The 15,904-nt window shown below is 39.6% G+C and overlaps 1 protein-coding gene across 27 annotated transcripts in view; it reads right to left on the bottom strand.

Annotated features, from left to right (window-relative positions):
• The window catches only part of ACOXL (acyl-CoA oxidase like), a 385,976-nt gene that overhangs the window by 348,359 nt on the left and 21,713 nt on the right, over positions 1-15,904 (bottom strand). For all 27 annotated transcript variants that reach the window (NM_001437600.1, XM_011511414.4, NM_001142807.4 and 24 more), the window contains exon 2: positions 1,726-1,822. In NM_001437600.1, coding sequence (NP_001424529.1) covers positions 1,726-1,800 — 75 coding nt within the window. In that variant the 5' untranslated portion in view covers positions 1,801-1,822. The remainder of the gene's footprint in view (positions 1-1,725; positions 1,823-15,904) is intronic.

Genomic DNA, 15,904 nt, shown 5'->3' with positions numbered 1-15,904 from the left:
GGGTGGGGAAAGGGCTGGGCTGCTGCAGGATAGGGTCGGCTCCTCAGCATGCCGCTGAGCTGCAGCTACCCTAGTTCAGGCTCCTCCCTTAGGGGGTCTCAGAGGGCGGGTGGTGTTGGGTTTTTTGTTTGTTTGTTTGTTCATTTTGAGACAGGGTCTCACTCCGGTTGCCCAGGCTGGAGTGCGGTGGTGCGATCATAGCTCACTGCAGCCTCGACCTCTGGAGCCTCAAACGATCCTCCCACCTCAGCGTCCCAAGTAGCTGGTACTACAGGTGTGGGCCACCATGCCTGGCTAGTATTTGTTTAGTGTTTTGGGGTTTTTGGGGTTTTTTATTTTATTTTATTTTATTTTTTGAGACAGAGTCTCGCTTTGTTGCCCAGGCTGGAGTGCAGTGGCGCAATCTCAGCTCACCGCAACCTCCGCCTCCTGGTTCAAGGGATTCTCGTGCCTCAGCCTCCCAAGTAGCTGGGACTACAGGCGTGCACCACCACACCTGGCTAATTTTTGTTTTGTTTTGTTTTGTTTTGTTTTGTTTTAGTAGAAACAGTGTTTCACCATGTTGCCCAGGCCATGTTTCGCCATGTTGAGGCCAGGCTGGTCTCAAACTCCTGGCCTCAAGTGATCCACCTGCTTCCCTCCCAAAGTGCTAGGATTACAGGCATGAGCCACTGTGCCTGGCCAGTTTTGTATTTTTTTTTTTGTGGAGACAGGGTTTCACCATGTTGCCCAGGCCAGTCTTGAACTCCTGGGCTCTACCCAGTATCAGCCCACCTTGGCCTCCCAAAGTACTGGGATTACAGATGTGAGCCACCACACCCTGCTGAGGTATATTTTTTCCTATATACCATGAAGCTGAATGAACTTGGCTAAAATACATCACTCCTAATACTGACACAAAGGAACTCACTAATCATGTATTTTTTTCTTTCTTTCTTTCTTTCTTTCTTTCTTTCTTTCTTTTTTCATGAGGCTAAATTGACTAAAATAATACCACTAAATTTAGAATGACAGTTTTTAGACAAATAAGACATAAACTTTGGATAAGTCTAAAGTACTTTAAAAGCCCTTAAAATGAGTTATTTCTATTTCCCAGCTATTTAACTTTATCCCTAAAATTATATGGGTTTTGTGTACAAATATTTTATTACTTCTGCTGATACTCCTATTCCCTCGCCTGTGAGATTGGAGAAGTGAATGTGTGGGCCGAGGAAAGGGTTTGTTAGGTTAGTGGGAGTGGGGCAGAAAAGGGGCCTGAGGAAGACACTCTCCTCCACCGAGACCTGTCTGTCAGCTGCCCTCAGCATGAGATCAACAGGCTTAGCAAGTCACAAAAGCAAACAAAACAAAATCTCTAAGCAAATTAACATAGGAACAGAAAACCAAATACCGCACGTTCTTACTTATAAGTGAGAGCTAAACACTGAGTACACGCAGACACAAAGAAGAAATCAATAGGCGCGGCGGCCTACTTGAGAGAGGAGGGTGGGAGAAGGGTGAGGGTCAAAAAACTACCTATCGTGAGTTCAGTGCCCACTACTGGGGTGAGGAAATACTCTGTACATCAAACCTCCATAACACGCAATTTACCCATGTAACAAACCTGCACATATACCCTCTAAACATAAAATAAAAGCTGGAGAGAAAAAAACTCTCTCTCTCTCTCTCTCTCTCTCACACACACACACACACACACAACCATACCAGAATAATAATGACACTTACCAGATCCTGACCTGCACGTTTTAACAGAGGCAGGTCCATGGCAAACTTCACTCTCTGAACTGTCAAAGCTCTCATTTCATCCAAGCTTAAATCATACCTGTGAAGAACAGATACAAAATAAGACAGCCAATAATTGGTGACTGAGGGGAGGCTGTGGATGCTTTGACCCCGGGCTCAGACAGAAAAGCTGTGTCCATTGTAATGCTTGTTTGATACTGTGCACACTGTGTGTGTCACACAGACTGGGTGTTCAATACAGCCAGACACAGGGAGGGAGAGATGGAAGGATTTCCTGACAAGACCATCTTATTCTTCTTATTAATATTATTATTTGAGATGGTGTCTCACTCTGTTGCCTAGGCTGGCGTGCAGCAGTGCAATCTCGGCTCACTGCAACCTCCGCCTCCCGGGTTCAAGCGATTCTCCTGCCTCAGCCTCCCAAGTAGCTGGGACTACAGGTGCCCACCACCATGCCCAGCTAATTTGTGTGTGTGTGTGTGTGTGTGTGTGTGTGTGTGTGTGTGTGTGTGTGTGTGTGTGTTTAGTAGAGACAGGGTTTCGCCATATTGGCCAGGCTGGCCTCAAACTCCTGACCTTGTGATCCACCCGCCTTGGCCTCCCAAAGTGCTGGGATTACAGGCGTGAGCCACCGCGCCCGGCCAAGACCATCTTAAAACAAGACTGCAACACCTCCTGCTCTGCAGTCCTTTGAAAATTGTCTGAGATGACTTAAAAGCAGCATTTGGGAGATAGGGGCAAGGGAGTGACATGCGTGTTGCAAGAGGTGGACTGTGGTGGCCATAAGGATTGCCACTCAGGGTTGCCTTCGAGATTACCTGCTTCCAGCTGCCACACCTTTGGAATAACAGAGTGATGGTAATTACATTCACCATGAGGCTGCTCATCTCTTGGCTGCTACTAGCTGATGGTTGAGCCTCACAAGGTTCTAGAGTCAGGCCATGCCTGCCCAAGAGGTGACCTGCTCTGGGAGCCCACTTGCCTGCAGACTTTGTCATCACTGTACTGTGTCTGAGGCTTTCCCAGCTCAACCCTTTCCTCCCCCTCTCTTTGCAAGGAAGCCAGACCTGACTGCCTTTGTTCTGAGGGTTCTCCCCACCAATCCAGCTCCCTCCCACTTACGCTTCTCAGGTGTTTTCTCCCATTAAATCTCCTGCACATCTAGCCCCACCTTGGTGCCCACTTCTCAATGAACCTAAACTGACACAGGAGGAGAGGTTCCTCTTTGGCCACCTAGAATGTTTCCATGCAACGCACAGCCTGAGCCTGTAGGACCTCACTCAGGTTAGATTTCAGAGCCAGAGGATATGAAAAGGATGGCCTAACAATAGAAAACCTTCTTGGAGATACCCACCCAACAACAGAAAAACATCAGAGCAAAACACACCCATCTTCCTCTCCTGCAGTCTCAGTGGGGCATTGCTCTTCCTCTCTACCCCATAACCCTGCAAAAGCAGGAGGGGGCACTCCAATTCCTTTCTGCAAGGCTGAGGGGAGAGTTAACCTTCCACCTCTTGTCTTGCAGAGCAGATGGAGTGTCTGAGTTCCCGACCTGGTGCACACCTTGGTGGGCCAAGTAGGGAGCTGATCTTCTATCTCCTGCCCAGCAAAAGCAGGTGGTGCCAGGGTAGCATTAGTGGAGTCCAGTAGTGGCCATCTATACCCAGCAACAACAAGGCCTAGCAAGAAGATGCGAGGTAAATCTAGTCACACCCTGCTTCACACCAACACCCCATCAGCAGGACCCAATGGGAAGCTGAGACTTCACCCCTACTCGGTATTAACAAGGAAAAAGGAGGTGGTAGGAGAGAGGGTCAGTTGGCACTTAATTCACCCCTCTCCTTCCCTGGCGTCATTAGCACCCAGAAGAGAACTGACCTTCCATCCCATACCGGTGACAACAAAGTGATGTGGGTCAGCTTTCAACTTCCCCCTTCCTGATGGCAGCTCAGCCCAGTGGGGAGGGGATGATCTCACATCCCCATCTGAAGGCAACTGAGGTCATGAGATTCAAGAGGGGAGCTGAACTTCCACTCCATACATTTTCAACAAAGTTGGCTCAACAGGAAGCTGAATATACATGGCCACCTGGACATCCCAATATACCTCAACAAGGGACCCCATGCTAAAAAATATTCAATCAATCTTGAGCAACATAATAAAATATCCAAAATGTCTAGGACACAATAAAAAATTGCTCATGATACCAAGAACTGTCAGAACACATACAAAGAATTTACTAAGAATCATCACAGCAACAAGGAACATCACAACATGAATGATAAAGAAATCAACAGATACCCACACCAAGATTAATCAGACATTGGAATTATCTGATGAAGATTTTAAAGCAACCATCATAACCATGCTTCAATAAGTAATCATAATTTCTCTTGAAATAAATGGGGAAAAAAACAGAAAATTGTATCAAAGAAGTGCAAGTTATAGAAAAGAATAAAATGGAACTCATAGAACTGAAAAATATGATAACCAAATTTTTTAAATCTCACTAGATGAACTCAAGAATACAGCATAGATGAAATAATAGAATCAGTGAACTTGATGACAGATTGCTATGGTCTAAATGTTTGTATGTCCTCCAAAATGTATATGTTGGATCCTAATCACCAAGGTGATTATATTAGAAAGTAGGGGCTCTGGGAGATGATTAAGTCATGAGCAGTTCACCCTCATGAATGAGATTTATGCCCTTACAAAAGAGGTCCCAGAGACCTGCCTTGCTCCTTCCAGTATGTTAGAACATAGCAAGAAGGCACCATCTATGAACCAGAAAGCAAGACCCTCACCAGACACCAAATCTTCTGGCACCTTGATCTTGGACTTCCCAGCCTCCAGAATATGAAAAATAAATTTCTGTTATCTAAAGGCAACCTGATCTAAGATATTTTATTTTAGACTAGAACACAAATCAATAGAATTTATCCAATCTGAACAACAAAGAAAATATAGACTGAAAAATAAGACAAATATTTCTCAGGAACATTTGGGACAATAATAACAGAGCCAACATGCATATCTTCAGTTTTGAAAAGCAAAAAAAAGAGAGACTGGACCAAAAAAGTAGTATAAGATATAATAGCTAAAAACTTCCCCTACTTGGTAAAAGACATAATAAACCTACAGGTTCAGTAAGCTGAGCAAATAATTGGCTAAACCCAAAGAAGCCCATGTCAAGAAACATCATAATTAAATTTCTTAAAATTAAGGCCGAGGAAAAAATCTTGAAGGCAGCTAGAGAGAAATGATGGGTTACTTATAGGGGAAAACCATTGGAATGACAGCAGATTTCTCACTGGAAACTACAGAGGCCAGAAACAAGTGGCTCAACATTTTTCAAGTACTGAGACAAAATAACTGTCAATGGCAAATCTTATATTCAGTGAAGATATCCTTCAAGAATGAAGAAGAGGAATAATAAAAATCTTATCAGGCCAAAAAAATCTAAGACAATGTTTGCTAGCAAGCTGACTTAAAGAATGGCTAAAGGTAGTTCTTTAAACAGACAGGAAATGATAGGAGAAAAAGGCTAGAACTTTCAGAAAAGAAAGAACATCAGAATGAGTAAAAATATAGTAGACTAGATTACTTATTATGGGTTTTTAATAGACTTTTTTAGAGCAGTTTTAGGCCCACTGCAAAATTGATTAAAAGATACAGAGATTTCCCATATAGTTCCTGCCCCCACATGTGTATAGCCTCCCTCACTATCAAAATCCCCCACCAGAGTGGTATATTTGTTACAGCTGATGAACGTACATTACCCATCATTATCACCCAAATTCACAGTTTACATTAGGGTTCATTCTTGGAATTGTACATTCTGTGGGTCTGGATAAATTTATAATGACATGTATCTACTATTATAGTATCATACGGAGTAGCTTCACTGCCCTAAAAATCATCTGTGCCATGCCTCCCCCAACCCCTGACAGCCACTGATCTTTTTACTGTCTCCATAGTTTTGCCTTTTCCAGGATGTCACACAGTTGAAATAATGCAGTATTTCAACTAGACTTTTGAATTGTCTTCTTTCACTTAGTAAATACCTTTAAGTCTCCATGTGCTTTTCATGGCTTGATACCTCATTTTTTTTTAGCACTAAATAATATTCCATTGCCTGGAGGTACCACCATTTATCTATCCATTCAACTACTGATAGACATCTTGGTTACTCCTAAGTTTTGGAAATTATGAATAGAATTGCTATAAATATCCATGTGCAGGTTTCTGTGTGCACGTAAGTTTTCCATTCCTTTGGGTAAATACCAAGGAAAATGACTACTGGACCATATGGTAAGAAATCACCAAACTATCTTCCAAAGCAGCTATACCATTTTGCATTCTTACCAGCAATGAATAAAACTTCTTGTTGTCAGCATTTAGTGTTGTCAGTGTTCTGGATTTTGGCCATTCTAACAGACATGTAGTGATATCTCATTGTTGTTTTAATGTGTGTAGCCCTAATGACATATGATGTTGAGCATTTTTAATATGCTCATTTGCCTGCTATATATCTTCTTTGGTGAGGTGTCTGTTAAGGTCTTTGGCCCATTTTTTGATGGGGTTGTTTGTTTTCTTATTGTTGAGTTTGAAATGTTCTTTGTATATTCTGAATAACAGTCTTATATTAGACGTGTCTATGTGTCTGTTGCAAATATTTTCTCCCAATCCATGGCTTGCCTTTTCATCCTTTTGACATTCACAGAGCAGAAAGTTTTCCTTTTAATAAAATTCAATTTACCAATTCTTTCTTTCATAGACCATGCCTTTGGTGTTGTATCTAAAAAGTCATCACCAAATGCAAAGTCATATGGACTTTCTTCTAGATCTCCTAGGAATTTTATGGTTTTACATTTTACATTTAGGCCTGTGATCCATTTTGAGTTACTTTCTGTGAAGGGTGTAAGGTCTATGTATAGATTTATGTGGGGGTGGGGGTTGTATGTTGACGTCCAGTTGTCACAGCATCATTGGTAGAAAAAGCTATCTTTTCTCCATTTTATTGTTTTTGCTCCTTTGTCAAAGATCAGTTGACTATATTTATGTGAGTCCATTTCTGGACTTTCTATTCTGTTTCATTGATCCATTTGTCTGTTCTTTCACCACCACTATACATTTTTAATTACTGTAGATTTGTAGTAAGTCATGAAGCCAGTAGTGGCTGTCCTCCAACTTTGTTCTTCTCCTTCAATTTTGTATTGGCTATTGTGAGTCTTTTGTCTCTCCTTATAGGCTTTAAAATCAGTTTGTTGATATCCATGAAATAACTTGCCAAGATTTTGATTGAGATGACGTTTAATCTTAACAACATTAAGTTTCCTCTCCATGAACATAGAATATCCCACCATTTATTTAGTGGATTTTTTTCATTCATGACTTTTTGAAATAATATTTAATGTCTAAAGCAAAAATTATAAAACCATCTGATGTGGTACTCAATGTAGGTTGAAGAAATACTTCAAACAATTTGGCCAGGGGCAGTGGGTCATGCCTATAATTCAAGCACTGTGGGAGGCTGAGGTGGGCAGATTGCTCGAGCCCAGGAGCTTGAGACCAGCCTGGGCAATGTGGCAAAATCCTGTTTCTACTAACAATACAAAAAATTACCTGGATGTGGTTGTGTGCATGTGTAGTCCCAGCTACTTGGGAGTCTGAGGTAGGAGGATTGCTTGAGCCTAGGAGGGGAAGGTTGCAGTGAGGCGAGATCACACCATTGCACTCCAGCCTGGGTGACAGAGTGAGACCCTGTCTCAAATTTTTAAAAAAGGACTCAAAAAAGGTATTTTAAAATTGGAAAGGTAAAGGAACCTAAATGAAAGTTAGGTTTCTATACTTCACTCAAAGTGGTAGGACAATACTAGTAAACTATGATAAATTAGGTATGTACTATAACACCTCAAGCAACCACTAAGAAAATATAGAATGCGATATACCCTAAAACACAATAAATACATCAAGACGGTATCCTAAAATAATGTTCAAATAATCTACAGGAAGGTAAGAAAACAAAAAAAATAAGAGAAATAAGAAACAGAAGAAATAAATAATAAAGTGGCAGATGTAAACATTGACATATCAATAATTACCCTAAATGTAAATGGTTTAAATACCACAATTAAAAGACAAAGATTGGTAGAATGAATTTTTTAAGTCTAAAAATATGCTATCTGCAAGAAATCCATTTCAGATATAGTGACATAAGCAAGTTGAAAGCTAAAAGATGCAAAAAGTTAAGCCATGTGAACGCTAATCAAAAAGAAAAAGTAGAAATGGTTATATTTATATCAGCTAGAGTAGATGTCAGAAAAAAGAACATCACCAAAGATAGCAAAAGATATTATAATTATAAAAGGATCAATCCACAAAGAAGACATAACAATCCTAAACGTGTACACACCAAACAACAAAGCCTCAAATATGTAAAACAAAAACTGATAAATCACAAGATGTAGCAGTCTAGAGCCAATCAGAAGAAAGAAATCATGCAATAGGTTAAACAGACAAAGTTTAATACAAAGTATTACTATGATAAAATGTTCACTATAAGATATAGGGAAACTCCATATGGTATCCTCAGGCTGAGAGAGAACACCTAAAAACGGGAAAAAGTTGGAACAGGTACAGATCTCACTAGAGAAGGTATGGTTTAGCCCATCAAACAGCAGAGAAGTTAGCTGATTTGGCCAGGCCAGAGTTGGTCTGGAGTTTCTGGGATAAGAATAAACCATCCTTACAAATGCAGGTGGGGAAGCAAACCATCAGCAACTGGCAGTATGGGTGTACAGTAGGATGGCAGGCATCAATGCAGACAGGAGGCCTTTAGAGCACATAGGCCACCTGGGAGCTTGCAACGATGTAAGCTCATATAAAATTTAGCCTCAGCCAAATTATATTCCATGGGGAGCTCTGGAATATAAATGGCATCACAGAGTTGTGCCACTCTCTTAGTTAGTCATTGATTGCAGGGTATTCCTAAGGAGAAAGCATAACCTCAGGTATTTCCAGAGAAGGTAACTTCCATAATCAATGACAATTCAAAGGAGAAATGTTCAATTGGGAGTTGATATTAATCAACATTCTCAGAACCAGTCAATGGGTATGCAAGCCTAGTAAAGGGATCTTGGGTGTCAACAGCAATTGCTACAGCAGCTGACTAAAGAAGCTAGGAAAAAAACAACACATTAAAGAAAAAAGAATAAATTGTTTTTAAAAAAGTAATCAGAAAACAGAAAAAGTAGTAACTAATAAATCCAAAAGCTGGCTCTTTGAAAGCAACAACCACAAGAAGTTGTTGTTGAATATTGTTCTGGTGGTATTTGCCAATGCAATTATGAGAGAGAAAAAATTAGAGAAATCAAAATTGGAAAGGAACGAGTAACACTATCACTATTTGCAGATACAAAGTAGCAGGTTGATTTATTGATAACACCTATGCTTCACCTCTCCTTGACTCTTGCCCTTTGACACTCCAGTTCTCATTTAAGAGGCAGGGTCTATTTTCCTACCCCTTAAATCTGGACCTAGCCAATGGGACATTCTTTGGCCATTAAAATATTGGTAAATTTGAGAGAAGCAAACACTTGAGTGCTTATGCATTTCCCTATCTGTCTTGTTCCACATGAACACTAATGAAAAAAAAAGTATCATATCCTGTGATACTCATGGGAATATCCCTGAGTGAAGCTAAAAATATGCTCAGACTACCATGCTTGCGGGTGATATAAAGTAAGAGATATGTGAGAACAGCTCACTTGTCTTGGCCATGGCCATCTTAAACCAACCTACCTCTAGGCAATCCTCAAATATGTGAGAGTCCAGCCAAGATCAGAGAGGCTGTCTGTCCAATTCATGGCTAACTGAAATACATGAATGAGTTCAGTTAAGACCAGAAGGTCCTCCCAGTCATGCACAGATGCATGAACAATAATAAACAACTGTCATTTTGAGCCACTATATATTGCATTATAACTAGCTATAATATTGGCTGGGTGCGGTGGCTCACGCCTGTAATCCCAGCACTTTGGGAGGCTGAGGCGGGCGGATCACGAGGTCAGGAGATCGAGACCATCCTGTCTAACACGGTGAAACCCCGTTTCTACTAAAAATGCAAAAAAAATTAGCCAGGCGTGGTGGCGGTCAGTGCCTGTAGTCCCAGCTACTCGGGAGGCTGAGGCAGGAGAATGGCGTGAACCCAAGAGGTGGAGCTTGCAGTGAGCCGAGATTGCACCACTGCACTCCAGCCTGGGCAACAGAGTGAGACTCCATCTCAAAAAAAAAAAAAAGAAAAGAAAAATTTAACTAGCTATAATATGATTGTACACCTGGAAGCCCCCAAGACAATCAACTAACAACTACTACAAAAAATAAGAGTTAGCAGGATACACAATAAAAGAAATCAATAGCTTTTATACAGATACATTAAAAACCAGTTAGAAAATACATGAAGGAAAAGATCCCACTTGCAAAAGTAATAAAACAAAATTAAAATATACATTAGAATAAATTTTTTTAATTTACAGAACCTAGATGAAAAAGCTTTCATCTAAATATGCCTAAAGAATACAAGAGAAGACTTGGACAAATAGAAATGTGTGCCATGTTTATTAATAGAAGACAATATCATAATGAAATCAATTCTCCTTATGTTAATTCATACATTAAACATAATCCAAATAACAATGCCAACAAGTGATTTTAAAATTCAAATATAAAAAGAAACAAACAAAAATAGTCAGGAAAACTCTAAACCCATGGAAGTATGATCTTTGCAGACAATAAAATGGGTGAAAAGATTGCCAAGCTGGATAAAGCGCCAAGACCCATCAGTATGTTGTCTTCAAGAGACCTATCCATGTGCAAAGACACACATGGGCTCAAAATAAAGGGATAAAGAAAAATTTACCGAGCAAATGGAAAAAAAATCAAGGGTTGCAATCCTAGTTTCTGAAAAAATAGACTTTCAACCAACAAAGATTATAAAAGACAAAGAAGGGCATTACATAACAGTAAAGTGTTCAATTCAACAAGAAGAGCCAACTATCCTAAATAAACATGCACCCAATACAGGAGCACCCAGATTCATAAAGCAAATTCTTAGAGACCTACAAAGAGACGTAGACTCTCACACAATAATACTGGGAGACTTTACCACCCCACTGACAATAGTAGACAAATCATCAAGAAAGAAAATTAACAAAGATATTTAGGACCTGAACTCAACCTCAGGATCAAGTAGACCTGACAGATATCTACAGAACTCTCCACCCAAAAACAACAAAATATACATTCTTCTCATCATTACATGGCACTTACTCTAAAACTGATCACACAATTGGAAGTAAAATACTCCTCAGCAAATGCAAAGGAACTGAAATCATAACAAACAATCTCTCAGACTGCAGAGCAATCAAATTAGAACTCAAGATTAAGAAATTCACTTAAACCCACACAACTACAGGAAACGGAACAACCTGCTCCTGAATGAGTCTTGGGTAAATAATGAAATTAAGGCAGAAATCAAGAAGTTCTTTGAAACTAATGAGAACAAAGAAATGATGTACCAGAATCTCTGTGACGCAGGTAAAGCAGTGTTAAGAGGGAACTTTATAGCACTACATGTCCACGTCAAAAAGCTAGAAAGATCTCAAGTTAACAACCTAACATCTCAACTAAAAGAACAAGAGAACCAAGAGCAATAAACTCCCAAAGCTAGCAGAAGACAAGAAATAACCAAGATCAGAGCTGAACTGAAGGAGATAGACAAGAAAAACACTTCAAAAAATCAATGAACCCAGGAGCTGGTTTTTTGAACAAATTAAATAGACCACTAGCTAGACTAATAAGGAAGAAAAGTTAGAAGAATCAAATAAACTCAACCAGAAATGATAAAGGGGATATCACTACTGACCCCACAAAAATACAGCCATCAGAGAATGGCCATACTGCCCCAAATAATGTATAGATTCAATGCTATTCACATTAAACTCCCATTGACATTCTTCACAGAATTAGAAAAAATCATTTTAAAATTCATATGGAACCAAAAAGGAGCCCAGATAACCAAGACAATCCTAAGGAAAAAGAACAAAGCTGGAAGCATCACACTATTTGACTTCAAACTATACTACAAGGCTATAGTAACTAAAACAGCATGATACTGGTACAAGAACAGACACATAGACCAATGGAACAGAACAAAGAACTCAGAAATAAAACTGCACACCTACAAGCATCTAATCTTTGACAAACCTGACAAAAACAAGGAATGGGAAAAGGACTCCCTATTTAATAAATGGTGCTGGGAGAGCTGGCAAGTTATAGGCAGAAAATTAAAACTAGACCCCTTCCTTACACCATATATAAAAATTAACTCAAGTTGGATTAAAGACTTAAATGTAAAACCCAAAATTATAAAAACCCTAGAAGAAAATCTAGGGAATATCATTCAGGACATAGGCATGGGCAAAGATTTTATAATGAAGACACCAAAAATGACTGCAACAAAAGCAAAAATTGACGAATCGGATCTAATTAGACCAAAGAGCTCCTGGACAGCAAAAGAAACTATCATCAGAGTGAACAACCTACAGAATGGGAGAAAATTCTTGCAATCGATCTATCTGACGAAAGTCTAATATCCAGAGTCTATGAGGAACTTAAACAAATTGACAAGAAAAAAAAAAACCCCATTAAAAGGTAGGCAAAGGACCTGAACAGACACTTCTCAAAAGAAGACATACATGTGGCTAACAAACATATGAAAAAAGGCTCAACATCACTGATCATTAGAGAAATGCACGTCAAAACCATGAGATACCAGCTCACATCAGTCAGAATGTTGATTATTAAAAAGTGAAAAAACAACAGATGCCGGCGAGGTTGCGGAGAACGAGGAACACTTTTACACTGTTGGTAAAAGTGTAAATTAGTTCAACCACCATGGAAGACAGTGTGGTGATTCCTCAAAGACCTAGATGCAGAAATACCAATTGACCCCACAATCCCAATACTGGGTATATACCCAAAGGAATATAAATCATTCTATTATAAAGATACATGCATGCATATGTTCACTGCAGCACTATTTACATTAGCAAAGACATGGAATCAACCTAAATACCCATCAATGATAGACTGAATAAAGAAAATGTGGTACATATATACCATGGAATACTATGCAGACATACAAAGGAATGCGATTAGGACATTTGCAGGAACATGGACAAGTTGGAAGCCATTATCCTCAGCAATCTAATGCAGGAATGGAAAACCAAAACAGCACATGTTCTCACTTATAAGTGGGAGCTGAATGATGAGAACATATGGATACATGGTGAGAACAACATGCACTGGAGCCTGTCTTGGGGGGGGTTGGAGGAGGGAGAGCATCAGGTAGAATAGCTAATGGATGCTGGGCTGAATACCTAGATGATGAGATGATCTGTACAGCAAACCACCACGGCCCACGTTTACCTATGTAACAAATGTGCACATCCTGCACATGTACCCCTGAATTTAAAAAAAGCTGAAGAAAAAATAAAAGGGGCAAATCTCCCGTAAAATTTTTTTTAAAAAGATGTGTGATAAGGCCTTAAGTAACTCAAATTGTGCAAAACAGGCAGATAGACCAATAGAATAAAATAGAATATTGAGAAACAGAAGTAAGTATATATGGAAATTTAATATATGTAAGACAAATGTGGTATATCAAATCATGGGAAAAACAAACATTACTGAAACATCCAGCTGGGTGGCCAACTGGAAAGGAAAATTAAGTCAGATCCCCATTTCACACCACGTACTAGAATAAATTCCAAATAGATCAACAATTGACATGAAGAAAAATAAAACCACAAAGTATTAAAATAAAACCTGAAGAATTATTTCATAATTTTAATCCAAGAAATCAGTAGATGAGGGCCACTAATGCACAGATAATACACACATCGCCCAAAGGAACTGAAGAAATGATCAAAACCTATAAAATAAACAGACCTTGACACGGTGCGGTGGCTCATACCTGTAATCCCAACACTTTGGGAGGCCAATGTGGGCGGATCAACTGAGGTCAGGAGTTTGAGACTAGCCTGGCCAACATGACGAAACCCCGTCTCTACTAAAAATAGAAAAAAATTAGCCGAGCGTGGTGTCGGGCACCTGTAATCCCAGCTACTCGGGAGGCTGAGACAGGAGAATCACTTGAACCCGGGAGGCGGAGGTTGCAGTGAGCCGAGATCGTGCCATTGCACTCCAGCCTGGGCAACAGAGCAAGACTCTGCTTCAGAAAAAAAAAAGAGGCCTTAAGAAAAGTGGGCTATTACTAAACAGCTCTCAACTATTAACACCCGAATTCCTTATATCAAATAAATTTCTCAACAGAGACATGTTAGACAATTCTAATTATAGGTCTATTCTCATTCCCATTCCCAAAATGCCCTACAAGGGATGAGAATAATGTTATATGGACAGAAATAGTGATTAACAATACACATATTGCTTGCATGTGTGTGTATTTTTTTTAATTTCTTTAAGGACACACTAGAAACTAACAGTTTTTACCTTTTGGGTATGTGGGGTGGAGGTGGGAAAATTCAGTAGATGGGAAACAGTACTCTATTTTTTTATGCTTTCTGACTTTTGAACCAAGTTAAAATAACACCTATTTCAAATAAATGTTTAAATTTTATTTTAAATTGCATAGTTAAAAAGAACCACTAGATGGAGTATGTTCCTCATTTGAACTGCTGCCATAACAAATTCATAAATAAATTAAAGCTGGATAAAAATGTATTCTGGAAACTAGCTGAAAGCTTGAACACCGGTTTATCATAATAATAATATCTAAATTGCTAACACTGTTCGAGCAAACAGGTGACAATCTGCCGCGGAAAAATCAGGATTTTAGAAACATCCTTATGCTCCAATCCCCTAAGCAACATGCATAGTTGTGTATTTTCTGTCTTCAAATATAAACCGCCACATTTAACAATCTTGGTAGTTTTCCTCAAATACCATCTGTATAACAATGGCATATAAAATCATAAACAATGATTTTTTGACATGTTCTCAGCTATAATTTCTCTTTTATGTCTTCTTGGGTCTCTAAGATATGGAGATTAGGCAAATATTAGTGTTCCTAGATCTCAGGCTGCAGGCAGCGGCCCTGGGTTTATGGCATCAGTTCTGGGGGTGGGAGTCAGGCCTCACATGTGAGGGTCATCTGGGGACAGCTGTTGGAGATGTGATGAGGTCTAGGGAGGGCCTAGCTCTGGCCAGCAGCTCCACCATCATCTGACTTCCCTATTGGTGTTCTGTGCAGGATTCAGGTTGTAAAACGGTCCCATGACTAAGAATAAGCCTGCAAACCTCTAAGCTAAAAGAGAGAGAGAGAGAGATCTCTCTAGGAAGCCTGGCAAGGTGGCAAAACAAATGCTGACCATACCAAGTGTTAACAAGCATGCTGAGCAACTAGACCCCTCATTCGCTGGAGGTAGGAGTGTAAAATGGAACTCTAGAAAAGTTTGACAGTTTGTTATGAAGTTAAACATAGACTTTTCATGTGCAATCGCAATCCCAGGTATACACCCTAGGAGAAATTCTTTGTTTACAAAAATTATTTTTAAAACCTGTACATAAATGTTTACAGCAGCTTTATTTGCAATCATCAAAAACTGGAAACAACCCAAATGCCACTGGCAAATGGATAAACAAACTGTGACACATCCATACAATGGAATACTACTCAACAATTAAAAGGAATGAACCACTGACACACACAACTTGGATAGATCACAATAACTTGGATAGGGCATTGTGTTGAGTGAAAAAATGCCAATCTCAAAACAGTTACATATTACATAATTCCAATTTTATAAATTTTCAAAGTGACAAAATTAAGGTAATGGAGAACATATCAGTTGCTGCTGGGGTTAGGACTATGGGGATTCTGATTCTGAAGGGAAAACAAAGGGGAGTTTCTTTGTGATGTTGTGTGCCCTCATCATGGTGTTGGTAACACAATACTACATAGGGAATAAACTCTCATAGAACTAGGCTGGGCAGCATGGTGGCTCACACCTGTAATCTCAGCACTTTGAGAGGCTGAGGCACAAGAATTGCTTGAGCCTGGGAGTTCCAGACC

This window comes from Homo sapiens, chromosome 2 (assembly GCF_000001405.40).
Source record: "Homo sapiens chromosome 2, GRCh38.p14 Primary Assembly".
NCBI classification, from domain to species: Eukaryota; Metazoa; Chordata; class Mammalia; order Primates; family Hominidae; genus Homo; species Homo sapiens.
Note: the sequence above shows the minus strand (reverse complement) of the source record. Positions and strands in the feature narration are given on the sequence as shown.